Source organism: Homo sapiens, chromosome 2 (assembly GCF_000001405.40).
Source record: "Homo sapiens chromosome 2, GRCh38.p14 Primary Assembly".
Lineage (NCBI taxonomy): Eukaryota > Metazoa > Chordata > Mammalia > Primates > Hominidae > Homo > Homo sapiens.
In genome coordinates this window covers 36,354,468-36,367,329 of record NC_000002.12, presented here as the reverse complement: position 1 = coordinate 36,367,329, position 12,862 = coordinate 36,354,468, and the positions used below count along the sequence as shown (strand labels likewise).

The following is a 12,862-nucleotide window of genomic DNA, read 5'->3' as shown; positions in this document are numbered from 1 at the left end:
CTGAAACAAGCTAGGATATACACAAATACAGTCACAGTCTTGATTAAAACACAGAAATTTATTTGGTCTTTCATTTTGATGTGATAGGTAGTGGTAATAAGTTTTCTTAAAATCTGCCTGAAATATAGGAACTCAGTGGTTCTGAAAAGCACACAGTATACCCATTCTGTCTCCAACTGTTTAAAAATCCTTCTACTTTGACTTCCACAGACAAAACTGTCTAAAATCCATCCCTTTTCCTCACTCAGACTGTAAAAGCCCATACTTTTCAAAAAAAGCAAAGCTCCCAAATATGGGAAGTGAGAAAAGGTTTTCGAGATCTGCATTTGATAACATGATGGAATATTCTGTCTCTACAGACTTATAAACACACACACAGAAAGGTCCAAGCCTATGCATCCCACACTCCTCACACCATAAGGCCTGAAGTGGTCCAACTACTTCATAAAGTCTAGTTCAGGTCAAACATCCTCAAGGTAGCTTTGCCTTATTTTGGCAGGTCTTTCGCAGTCTTAAAAAGAAGTATCACAATTCTCCAACAAAAGATGCCTTTTGTTTAATCACAGCTGTGAAACGTTTTGCTGTGGCCTTTGGATAAGAAGCTAAATAAGTTACCTCTTGTAGACTGGGACTCTGCAGTCTCAGGTTTCATTCTGCCCTGCCAGAAATTCCTTTCTGTTTTGAATCTGAGATGTTTGTTTATGGTTTTTGTTTTGAAATGCTAAATAAGACAGGCATAGTTTCCAGTTACAGCCTATGGACCACCATCTACTCCCTCTCCTTTTTTTTTTAATCTTTCCATAGGCAAGGTAGCTGGTTGCTAAAATTTCCAAATAGCAAACTGTTCAAATTCTCTTCTCAGGAACTTGAAATACAAAATGGTAACACCCTACAATATAATTAACACTTATTTTTTTTTCTTAAATATTCAGAAGACAAATGTTCTCAGGATAGTCTGAATTAGGGTGTTATTTTGACATCTTTCTGATTTTGTTTGTAGGTTACATGTCCGAATACCAGCACTCTTGATAGAAGTGCTACAAATGAGAGGTACTAAAGTAGTTTCTGGAAGAAAATCCAATTTCTACTATGCGATAATACGGTTTGATCATCAGGAAGGAAAAAAAAAGTTGTAAACCACTGATTCCAAGGATTTTTCTCTTCATCAAGTTCTTTCTCCTTGTTCTACAATAGCCAATTTAAAGCATCTGCCTTATGAATTATCAGCCAATATTTACTGGATAAAAATGATACTTATTTTCAGGTACAAAGGAAAGAGTCACAGTTAAGCAAATGTAGTTCTGGGCTGGGCGCGGTGGCTCACGCCTGTAATCCCAGCACTTTGGGAGGCCAAGGTGGGCAGATCACGAGGTCGAGAGACCATCCTGGCCAACATGGTGAAACGTGGTCTCCACTAAAAATACACAAAGTAGTTGGGCGTGGTGGCACATGCCTGTAATCCCAGCTACTCAGGAGGCTGAGGCAGGAGAATCGCTTGAACCAGGGAGTCAGAGGTTGCAGTGAGCTGAGATCATGCCACTGCACTTCAGCCTGGCAACAGAGTGAGACTCTGTCTCAAAAAAAAAAAAAAAACACAAACATAGTTCATAGTTCTGTTCTCCTAAAATGGGACCATACCCACACTAAGAACTAAACAGCTAGTAACATTAGATATTTTGATTCTAGGTGTTCTTCCTACCCCGCACTATATCACAAAGACTCCCTAGAGACAGTGCAAACCCATGGCCAACCTCGACTATTAGTCCACATCAAAGATGGCTAGAATGACTGGGAGAGAGAAAAGCAACACAGATGGCCTCTGGCCCTCACACCCTCTCCTGCTCATTCCCAAGCCCGCAGTGGTCTCTGAATCGGCTAGGCTTGCCGCTGCTTCCTTCTGTAACCTCAGTGAGATATATCAACCTGGCCTGGCTATATCCTTGGGGTCTCCAACGTCTCCAGTGATGTCCAGAAATCCTCAAAAAGTTCTAACAATAAAAGGAAATTTAATTCACTGTCATAAAACCATATGCCATTAATATTAAAAGGCCATTTTTAAATAAATATTAATTTGAAATAGCTCTTTGGATGTAGGGGCTCAAACCACAAAATCAAGCAAGTGTTCACATTCTGCTGAAATGCCAAAGGCGCTGGGAACTGTAGTTGCACTGGATCAAACCAACGCATGTTTCCTTGGTGCATAGACCCTGTATTCCCAGCCCCCTGTTCTCGGTACTTCACGGTTCTTTTCTCTTTGACAAACATCTGACATTTGAATTCCCCCTCGAAACTCCCACCCCTTTGAAGAGATTTAGTTAAGTTTGGAGGAAATGTGTGCCCACAAGGTAAATTTTTAAACTTACAGAGAAAGCTAACAAAGAGGAAAATGGGAAAGGATAGAAAATAGAATGGAAATTAAAATTAATATTATTTTAAAAAATCTATTTGGTACCAGAAACTAGCATATACACATACATACTATACACACACACACACAATCTTATATATACATCTATGTAATCATATATATAAATCTCTAATCCTCACTACAATATTTACTTAATAGAAAGCTATTAATATTCCAGTTTCACAGATGAGGGAACTGAAGCTCAGAGAAACTAAACAAGCTGATCTCACGATTAAAAAAATAACAGATTTAAGATTTCAATGCAGGTTTGTCTAGCCCCAAGCCCTATTTTCTTTTTCCTAAAACATCCTGCACAAGAAGTGCAGGAAAAAAGGAGGGAGGAGAGGAGACCCTCAGGTCTTTCTTGTTGCTGCATCCTCCACTAAACTTTTCCTGGTGGTCAGATTTGGGTTAGACTCCCTCTTACTTGCTCCTGACATGCTTGGCATTTCCGTTATCTCATGGCTTACTGAACTGATTGTAATGAATTGTCTGCTTTTCCAGTTTACCATCAGATCATGGCCTGTGTGAAAACAAGGACCATATCTTATTTATTTTGGCTGAAAAATAATGACTATAATAGCAGGTAACATTTATCAGGTCTTTTAATATGCATACTCTGTGATACATGCTGTATACATAGGTACTAGCTTTGTGCTACTTAAAAGTGTGGTCCTGGCACCTGTGACACTGGCATCAGCCAGAAATTTGTTAGAAATGTAGAATCACAGGCATCACCCCAGACTAACTTAATCAGACTTGCAATTTTAAATACCTAGGTGATTTGTGTGCACACTAAAATTTCAGAAGCACAGTTTTATCTCACTTAACCCCCACAGCGAACCTAGGAGGTACCGACGACTAACAGAAAAACTGGCTTACACAAGTGATGTCACTACTGTAAAGCACAGAGACAAGACCCATAGGCGATGCTCATGAATATTTTCAGGCAGAAGAATGGCAGAAGAACAGGTAGAGCTAGAAAAAGAACAAGAGGAATGGATAATCCTCTGACTTCTGGTTTTGCCTAGTTTATACCAACTGCAGCAGCAGGTTGGAACCATAGCCCCCATGGCGTCGAGCTGTTTCTTTGCTCAAGCCAGGCCAAATCCTGCAGTGGTCATCAGTGTGCACACTCAGGAGCTAGGAGCAAAATTTCCTCCCAGAAGATAATGTGAAGCAAAGTGCACACTGCTGATTATAGCACATCTAGGTTCCCGCCTCCTCCCCAAATTAAGTATTTTTAATTATTTGTTCACAGATAAATGGTTACATTTATAATTCCTACAAATCAATGCAAAATAATATCAGACCTAAAACATTACTCAAAATATACAAACTTTGTAGAAATCATTTAGACAAGGTATAAAAAGATAGTCATGGGGGGGGGGGGCGGCGACGACTGCTGAATTCAGTAACAATTTGCTCCCTTTCTAAGAGCCCAACCTCCTTAACTGCTTACCATCAATGACTGAGGTAGATGGGGATTAAGAGAACAAGAGACTGAGCCCAAGTAAAATTGTTTCACTTATACTGGTTAGTAGCCTTGTTAGTAAGCATGTTCCATGTGCCAGTCATTCTTTTAACTGCTCATTAGGGATGCACTGAGTCCTTATAGCAACCCTATCATTAACCTGACTACACAGATGAGAAAACTGAGACACACAGAAGCAGAGTGCAGATTTGACCCCAGAAACCAAGTTCTTTTTTTTTTTTTTTTTTTGAGACAGGGTCTTGCTTTGTCGCCCAGGCTGGAGTGCAGTGGTGCGATTTCAGCTCACTGCAGCCTCTGCTTCCTGGGTTCAAGCAATTCTCCCACCTCAGCCTCCCTAGTAGCTGGGATTACAGGGGCCTGCCACCAAGCCTGGCTAATTTTTTTGTATTCTTAGTAGAGACAAGGTTTCACCATGTTGGCCAGACTAGTCTTGAACTCCTGACCTCAGGCGATCCATCTGCCTCAGCCCCACAAAGTGCTGGGATTACAGGCATGAGACACCACGGCCGGCCCCAAGTTCTTGAACATTACACTTTTCCACCAACATGTAGGTATTTTCATGTGGGGAATTAACTGGGACTGGAGGAGGGAGGTAAGGAATTGATACCTGTTCACTTTGCAACTAACAAAGGAAAATAGGTTCTTTAAAAACATTTACTTTTTTCATGTGGGCCCAAGATAAAACACGTAAGAGTTTAGTGTTTACCTTGAGGGTATTCTTACATAGAGGTATATTCAACCATTCCTCTGTCTTGACTTAGGAAGTCTTGACTAAACAGAGGTTTTCAAAGATGTGACCAGGCTACTGCCCAGGGCAAGCAGCAGGGTGGGTGAAGCTGAGAGGTGCTGATAAAGGGACACCTCCCAGTTTACTGCCCACGCTTATCCGCCTAGTGAAACAAGCTAGAACAAAGAGAAAATCACTCTCAAAAGGAAACTTGCCGTTTTGAAGCACAGCTACTAAAGCATTAAGAATGCAGCTTCATTCTTAGATGTTGAGAAACACTGAGACCAATTGCACAGGCTCTAAGGAGAATGGGTAGGATCACCTCCCCTGCCAAAAGAAAGGGCTACTACTCACACTTTTAAACCTAGTTCAAATTCAAATTCCCCTTTCTGCTTTGCCACCAGAGCCTCAAGAGATCACTTCAGATGCTTTAATTCCTACAACTAATTTTATCCATATATTTCACTAGCCAATTAATCATACACAGACTTGCAAAATCACTTCTACTTGGCTTGAATTTATATTATTATGTAGACTTTTTGCAAGTCTACATAATAGACTTTTTGCAGTCTTGCTGTCTTTATTTCTTATCTTGATTAAGTGTACAGAGCAAAGAATATGTTGGAGAGGTCCCCGGGCTCCCTAGTTTCCCCCTCACCCCAGCAGAAGGCCTTGTACAGCATAGAAGACCAATGAATGAATGACTGATTTCCATGCAAAGGCAAGTCAGATCTTTGAAAATGCAGCTTTGCAGAATTAGACCTCTGAGAAGGAAAGCTTTCAATGTGTTATTCATGCATGCTTGGCTAGTCTACTGTTTCTCCCTCAAATAATTAAATGAGCTTTACTGGGGTGTCTCCAAAATCCTGATACCAAACGTGCCATACGGAACACAGTGTTACAGGAACCCGCTTCACTAAATGTATTTCCCTTCCACTCATTTTACCACCTCCTACCCTCTTGTATTTACAGGCTAAAGCAACACTATCATCTCTGCTTGCACCATAGCCTGGGAGATGTTAAGCACACCCACATTTTTCAGGAATTTCACAATTAATGTCTGGAATGTGTTTTGGATTATTCTTCAAAGGATGATATACTTGTGCTAAGATGAATTCAATATTTTCCCTTCTCCCATTCGTCATTCTTTAGTCCACCCCCTCATTACCTCCTTAGGGTCATCTGTTTCATCTACAATATATCCCCCAACTTCATAATGCCCATCCCCTGCCTCACCCAGCTGTTCACTCATTCATCCCGGTCATTGCATCTTCAACAAACCACACAAAACAAAGAAACCTGTACCAAGTCACCAAATACCTCCTACAAATGGATGTAATGCCTACACAGATTAAGGACTGTTCAGTTTTCTTCATATATTAATCTGACTGCTTACAACCCTACTGCCAACCTCTTGCTTGGAGATTTTCCTGGTCAGTGTACAATATGTGTGAATGGCAACAAATATCTCCAGACTTGCTATTTTTGCCATTCTGATAATACACAATCCATCTGCCCTTTGCCAAGTGTTTTATGTGACAGGACTCCTCAATAACAGGGAAGATTCTATAAGCCTGGCAATCAAAGTGAAGGTCACTGAGTCCTGTCATTTATTTAAGTGCAGTGAATAGTTGGTCTCTCCATGTTTTGCCAATATTTACTTTTGGGAGGAACTAATTATTTCCTTGTTTACTTCGTTGGTTTCTCTTCCCATTCCCTGTTAACATAATGTTATAGGCCCTCTGCTTGTTCCTCTCTGGGATCTAAGGGCTCCCTGTCTACCTAAGGACTTCTGAGAGGAAAAATGAAACCCATTATTCCAAAACAAAGCCAAGAGCTTAATTTTTCTAACTATAGAAGCTGATATTTTGCCCCCCTCCCGTTACTTAATGAGTGAATTAAAATTCGTGGACTCTTAACTTCAGGCCCTACTACAGAGTGGTGAGAGTAGTTTCCATGCGGCTTGTGCAGAATGAAATGTTTGGGTTCATTATCTGGCCTCCTGCAGCCTGCTTTCTGGAGCAGATCCCGCATACATTTTCTTCCAAGCAGCCATCATCTTCACTGACTGTCTTCCAGGGATAAGCAAAGAAACTTTGCATGGCAAGTTTCAGGAAACAAAATTCTGTTTTTTGCTGTAAGTACCCCACTATGTATACATAGTTCTCTTACACACTGCCCAATGAAAAATGGGTAAAAGGAACAGTTAAAATTCCTGGGGGAAATAAAAGGAGGATTGCGTTCTGAAAGAGGTCGTTTTTAGATAGCAATGGTGAAAAAGATGGAATGCTAAGTTCCAAAATATGAAGCTACTGAGTAAATAGTCACCAAGAAAAAAATTGGTGCTTATCTGATCTAGCTATCACCTGAATCTAATACAACAGAGTCCTCGGAACAGTGACTCAAGTAGTCTCCACCTGGTTCCTCATCACTCTGTCTGTACAAACTGCCAAAGCAAGTCACCATCTGCCCTTTAACTGCCCAGAGAGGCTGGTCATGCTCTCTCACCTTGCCTCACTCCTTATAGAAGCATAAAGCGCTATGACACATGGGAGAAGAAATGGCTCTCAACCCCTTAGCTCAAAACATAATTCTCACTGTCCAATCAAAATCTTCTTTCTAGAAAATCTCACTTCATTAATTTTTCTAAACTCTGCCTTCGATCCTCCAAAGATGTCTTCCATCCAGATTTCTTTCTCAGGGGTTCAGGATCCACACTTGTTTCTCTGGCTTCTAGGTGATTTTCCTGGAGGCAGGCAGCCTGGCCAAGAAAACAGGCCAGTTAGGATGCTGCAAAGAGCAACAGGAGGTCTTAGCAGACGAATGGAAAGAGGAAAAAGACCTGCACTCTCCTAAGTTCCAAAAAGCACTTTCTAGACTGACAGAAAGTAGGAAAAACTTTTAGGTATCAGGCTCCATGCTCATTTTTTCAAATGCACTTACCACCCCCAGCCCCCACCACAAAAGGAATAATTCAATTAGAATTTATTTAATAACAATCTAAACAATGCGGAAAAGAAATCCAAGTGCACATCTCACATGGTGCACAGGACACAACTCATCACATTATTTAATCATTCAGAAAATATTTTTTTTCCTTCAGCATTCTTTCTATGGATAGGATTGTTCTTCCGTTTGTTCAATGTACTTTTACTGAGAGCCAACTAGACCAGCATGCCTTAAAAACCTAAGGCTGTGAGCCACAAGCTGAAAGGGGCCCATTTCTGCCCATGATTTATCTAACTCATTTTGTGAACTGCAGTTAAAAACGTAATTTTTTTCCCCTACAAAGCCAGTATGAGAGTAAACACTGCTAAAAATTACTGCAAGTTGGCAAACAGAGAATATAATTTGTATTTAAATTATGTCATCGAAAGCAGGGAGATTAGTCATGATAATATTTCTATAACATGCAATATGTTTTTACAACGTAGCCAATTAAATAAGTTTTCAAGAGTTTTCATTAACAGATACAACCAGTAGGGGTCATTTTAGTGCAAAAATTGCAGCAAAAGAGACTTCAACATGAATAAAATATATTGATTCCTATTCATGTTAGTTATGATAACCATGCTTCACCACGTGAATTTCTGAATAAAAATGGAAACTGAGGGAAACACTGGCCATTCCGAAATTTCTTGTAAACTCACAGAAAAACAAGAGATAATCAATACCTTCTAGGTAACTGCTGACATCTGAAGGCTCCTCTAATTCTTTTTTTAAAAATGGCAGGCGGGGGGCGGTTGGGGTATCACTTATCCCATGCTTTCCATAAATCTTGTCGTTAAGTGAAAACACTGAAATTGTAAACACACGATTGAAAATATCTGTCTAAATCCAACCATTATATCATGCCAGGTAACACTGTCCTTACTTTGGTTTCACAGATTTAGAATGCAAGTTGACTGCTGTTTTCAGTATTTTTTTTTTTAAAGGAAGTGCCCTGGACACACAATATTGATAGTTGAAAACAGGCCTGTAAAATAAAAAGTGTTTCTAGAGAAACTAATTGAGATATAATCATGTCAACAAACCCTTCCAAGCATTTCAAAGCGAATACCAAGCACACAGGGTGTTGCCAGAAAAAAGGAAGCTATGAGGGATCACATCATTTCAGAGGAATGAAAGGCTCACGAAACTGCCAAAATAACTCTATACTGTGACATGGGATATTGCTGCCACAACACTCGATTACTGTAAATGTTCCCTGAGCACTTCCTTCACCAGAAACAGACTAAGAAGAAACAAAACAAGGGTTAGAATCTTCAGAACCTGCAAAAGTCCTTCTTGGAACACAGCAGTTTCCACTGCATTTAACTGTGTTTCATGTCGCCTGTTCTTTTCAGATTTACGAGAGGCCGGATTAAGTTATACACTTGAAGCGGCAGGGTTCAAAGATGCATCTTTTAGTCTAGGTCATTCAGAATTCCCAAAGTCAAAACACATACAATGGTATCAGAAGTTAATCTCATGGCCATTTTTCTTGAGGTAAGGCATAAAAACAAGTTATAAAAGGGGACAATACCAGGTGAGAGGCTTTTTTGTACTTCAGGCAAATGATCTCTTCTAACCCAATGTCTTACGTGTGCAGCAAAGCAAGAGCAAGTCCCTCCCCTCTGAGAAGAGTTCCCTTCACTCATCACTGCCCACTAGCTTCCAAACCAGAAAACCCTCCCCTATTTTCCTGAACTGTCCAAACCCCAAACTATTCAGGTATAAATAAGTACCTATGTGTGTGTCTGTGCGTATTTAGAGAGAATCACAGCACTGAAGCCTTTTAATAGGTCCATTGTTATCCTTAAGGCTGTCACCTCCTTTTTCAGTATCCCAGCATACTAAACAAACACACACAAAGATGCTTCGGAATAAACCGTTCCCTGGACGGTGCTGGCTGTGAGTAGTGAGGAAGGCACGCCGGGCAGAGGGCGCCTGTCCCTCCTCGCCGCCTCCCCAGAAACGAGGCTGCTGCGTGCGCTCTGCTCACTCGCCAGGATGCCCCCGGAACAGCATCATCAGCCCAACGTCAGCCAGAGCAGGGATCCCACTTTTAACTGATGCTTACCGAACCGTGCCCCCGTTAGCCACATCAAAATAACTCACTGCCTCGCTCTAGACCCCAAACCAGACCAGGCACCCTGAAGGCCGACGCAAGCGGGCAGGGATTAAAGCCAACACGCACTAACATTGGCTCCCCAACGAGAAAGACTCCACTAATCTAATCTGTTTCTCCCACCGTCAATCTCGACACCGCGGAGCACAATGCGTGCTGGAGAAGCCAGCAGAACAATCCCCGCTGTCAAACAAACAAAAAGGAGGAACCGGCAACACGACAGGAAACACGCGGGTATCTGATATTAAAAAGCAGCCACTAATAGCAACAACTTTTTACTCCCAGGTGCAACCCCCACCCCCCTTTCCTTTCAGGAGAGAAAGCCTTTGACCGTTTACAATGGGCAAATAAATGAGTAACCACCGTGTGTAACTTCCCCTGGGCTGACATATTCCGCGGCTGAAACTGATTTATCTGCGGAGGAGGAGGAAGGGGTGAAGGAAGAGCTCAAGGAAAAAATAATAAGAGTCACTCGGGGAGTGCGAGCTGGAGACACGTCTCCTCCGCCAACAGAAAAAGGACTTTCGCGGCCGGCGTGCGGCTCACGGTGCCACACTGCGCCAGTGCGGGGAGGGCGGTAGGGCCGGGCTCCCCGAGGGGCTCGCGCGCGGCAGAATCTGCAGTGCCCCCCGCCCGCGGCGCCCCCACCTCGGGGAGCAAGGCCGGGCCACCCAGTCCCAGCAGGAACGGCCACACGTGTGCGCGTCTGCGCGGGGACAGGGGCGATCCTCCACTCGCTCGCCCCCACCCACCATACCCAACCTCGCCCGCGACTGCCTAAGCGTCGGGGGGAACAAGGAGAGGGAACGCAGGGCCGCGGGGGCACTCTCCTGGGGGCGGCGGCCGCCCCTCTTCCCGCAGAGCCCTCTTTCCTCCAGAAAGTCTCGCCCAAACTTTGTTCGGCACAACCAGCGCCGAGGGGGCGGCGCAGGCCAGGTGGGAGGGGGCCCGCAGCGGGCGGCCGTACCTTCGCAAACGCCCGCTTCGTACTCGGTGAGGGAGTCGCCATTGAGCGGGGGGCGGATGACACAACGCAGCCCCCGGTCGCAGGTTCCGTAAATCCCGAAGGTGCCGCCGCAGCTCTCGTTCCTCTGGCTGGCGCACGTGTAGCAGCAGCCGCAGACGCCCTGCACGATGCTCCCCGGGCAGTTCCTGGGCTCCTCGCACTTGGACTCGTCACAGGGCAGGCAGACCAGCGCCCGGGTGCCGGAGCGCGCCAGCAGCAGCAGCAGCCCCAGCAGCGAGACCAGGAGGTGCCCGCAGCCGGCCAACCCCCTGTCCCCCGCCACCAAGTACATCCTCCTGCGCCGCCGCCGCCTCCTCCTCGCAGCCGGGCCGGGAGCGGGGCGGGCGCCCTCCCCTGCGCGGGGCACACGCGCCGCCGCCGCCGCACCAGCAGCCCGCGGTCCTCACCGCCCCTCTCGGGGCCCCCGGGGCGCGCCTCCCCTCGCGGGGCGAGGCCCCCGCCCCTTCTGCGGGCCGCGCCGACCCCGAGCCCACGAGCCTTGGCGCCGGCGGCAGCTTCCCCTCCTCCTCCTCCTCCTCCTCCCGGGAGGGAGGGGGAAAAAAGAAAAAAGTTTCCTCCCGGCAGCTCCGGTTCAACCCAAACTTCTGGCGCGGCGGCGGCGGTGGCTGCTGCGCTCGGCTCCAGCCCGGGCCGGCGGCGCCTCCTCCCTCTCCTCCTCCGAGTCGGCCGGCCCCGCAGCGGCGCAGCCTCCGGGCCGGTCCCCGCCTCCCGAGCTGCCGAGTGGGCGCGGTGGCGCAGCACAAGATCCGCGGCGTCCGCTCCGCGCGCCCCGCTCGCCTCACTCCTGCGCCGCTCCTCCGGGCGCTTGTTTATGGCTGGAGCCTCAGCCGCTCGGGCTGCGCCCTCCCCCATCCTACCTCCTCCCCCAGACCTTCCCCCCACCCCCACGCGCCGCGCGCCGCTCATTGGCTGCCCCCCCTCCCCGGCCCGGCCGGCCCCCTCCGCCTCCCCCTCCCCCTCTCGGGCGGCCGGGCCCTTCCTCCCTCCCTCACACGCCTCCACCTCTTCCCGATCTCCTCCTCCCCGAGCCCGGCGCACCGAGCCGGCCGTGCCACCGAGCTGCGGCTCTGGCCCCGGCGCCGCGGGTGCGCTGCGGATGGGCTTGGGGCGCACCCAGCGAGCAGCGAGAGTCGCGGTGTCCCGGGCGCTCGCTGGCACCGTGGCCGCAGCGGCCGGCCTGGGAGCCAGGAGGGCGAGGCGGCTGCACCTTCGGGGCCAGATTGGAGTTCGAAGAGTGGCGGGTACCCCAGAAGCTCGGGGCCGGGGCGATGGCTGCAGCCTCGGGAGGGTATCGCCGGATCGAACTCCGGGAAAGGGAAGCAAAGGCATGGAACCTCCGCACACTGGATGAGAATCCATCTTCCATTCGAGCTGGGAATAGACTTTGTGAAAGATATTATGTAATGGAGTCTCGGGAACCCTGAGACCTCTCCAGCGAAGCTGAAGTGAATTAATTAAGTGCTTTAAACGGTCTTGGTAAATATTCCGCGGGAGCTGGGGAGGACCGTTGGGATGGCTGTAGCTTGAGTTGAATTTTAACTGTCCTCATTCTGGGTTTTGTCGCTCTGCTTTCTGTGCCAAGGTGCTGTGTTACGGGAGAGAGTGACTGGAAAGTAACAAAGCTGAATCTTTCTCCCTGGAGTAAGGCCGAAGACTGGATTACTACACGCCTAGACGTGACACTACACCCATAGATCTCATGCATCATTAATGCCATATGACATTGCCATTTTCTTTCTCAGTTCACGGACAAAAGTGGTGGGTTTTCATTGTCTTCACTGATTGTCAATGCATTAATAAAGAAGATGTGTGGTACATAGTCTTTGTGATAAATCAGGTAAAGAAGCAACGGAAGTGATGCAAAATGCACGGTGTGGAGATGGTTTCTCTTCAGTGGTTGTCAGAAAAGGTTTTCGTAATGATGGCTCTGTCATTGATGGGATATGAAGTAGTAATCCGCTCCGTAGTGACCTACCATTCACAAGATGGGTACCAGGTGAATAACATTAATTAATTGACAAAAAGTGACTGTGGTCAATGGGGGAAAAAATCGATCCCGTGGCAGGTGTGACGTGGGAATGGCTGGCCCACCCTCT

The 12,862-nt window shown here is 46.3% G+C and overlaps 1 protein-coding gene and 1 long non-coding RNA gene across 13 annotated transcripts in view; one reads left to right on the top strand and one right to left on the bottom strand.

The window, feature by feature from the left end:
• CRIM1 (cysteine rich transmembrane BMP regulator 1) overlaps positions 1-11,552 on the bottom strand; it is a 195,358-nt gene extending 183,806 nt beyond the window's left edge. For 7 of the 12 annotated variants that reach the window (NM_016441.3, XM_017004259.2, XM_047444642.1 and 4 more), the window contains exon 1: positions 10,707-11,552. In NM_016441.3, coding sequence (NP_057525.1) covers positions 10,707-11,037 — 331 coding nt within the window. In that variant the 5' untranslated portion in view covers positions 11,038-11,552. Of the gene's footprint in view, positions 1-8,303; positions 8,427-10,706 lie in introns of all 12 variants that reach the window. The other 5 variants (XR_007076383.1, XM_011532898.4, XM_011532899.4 and 2 more) reach the window with 1 other exon arrangement.
• A 207-nt stretch (positions 11,553-11,759) lies between these two features.
• CRIM1-DT (CRIM1 divergent transcript) lies at positions 11,760-12,581 on the top strand. Its single transcript, NR_037631.1, has 2 exons — positions 11,760-12,242; positions 12,349-12,581. It is a non-coding gene; the product is annotated as a CRIM1 divergent transcript (long non-coding RNA).
• Positions 12,582-12,862: the final 281 nt, after the last annotated feature.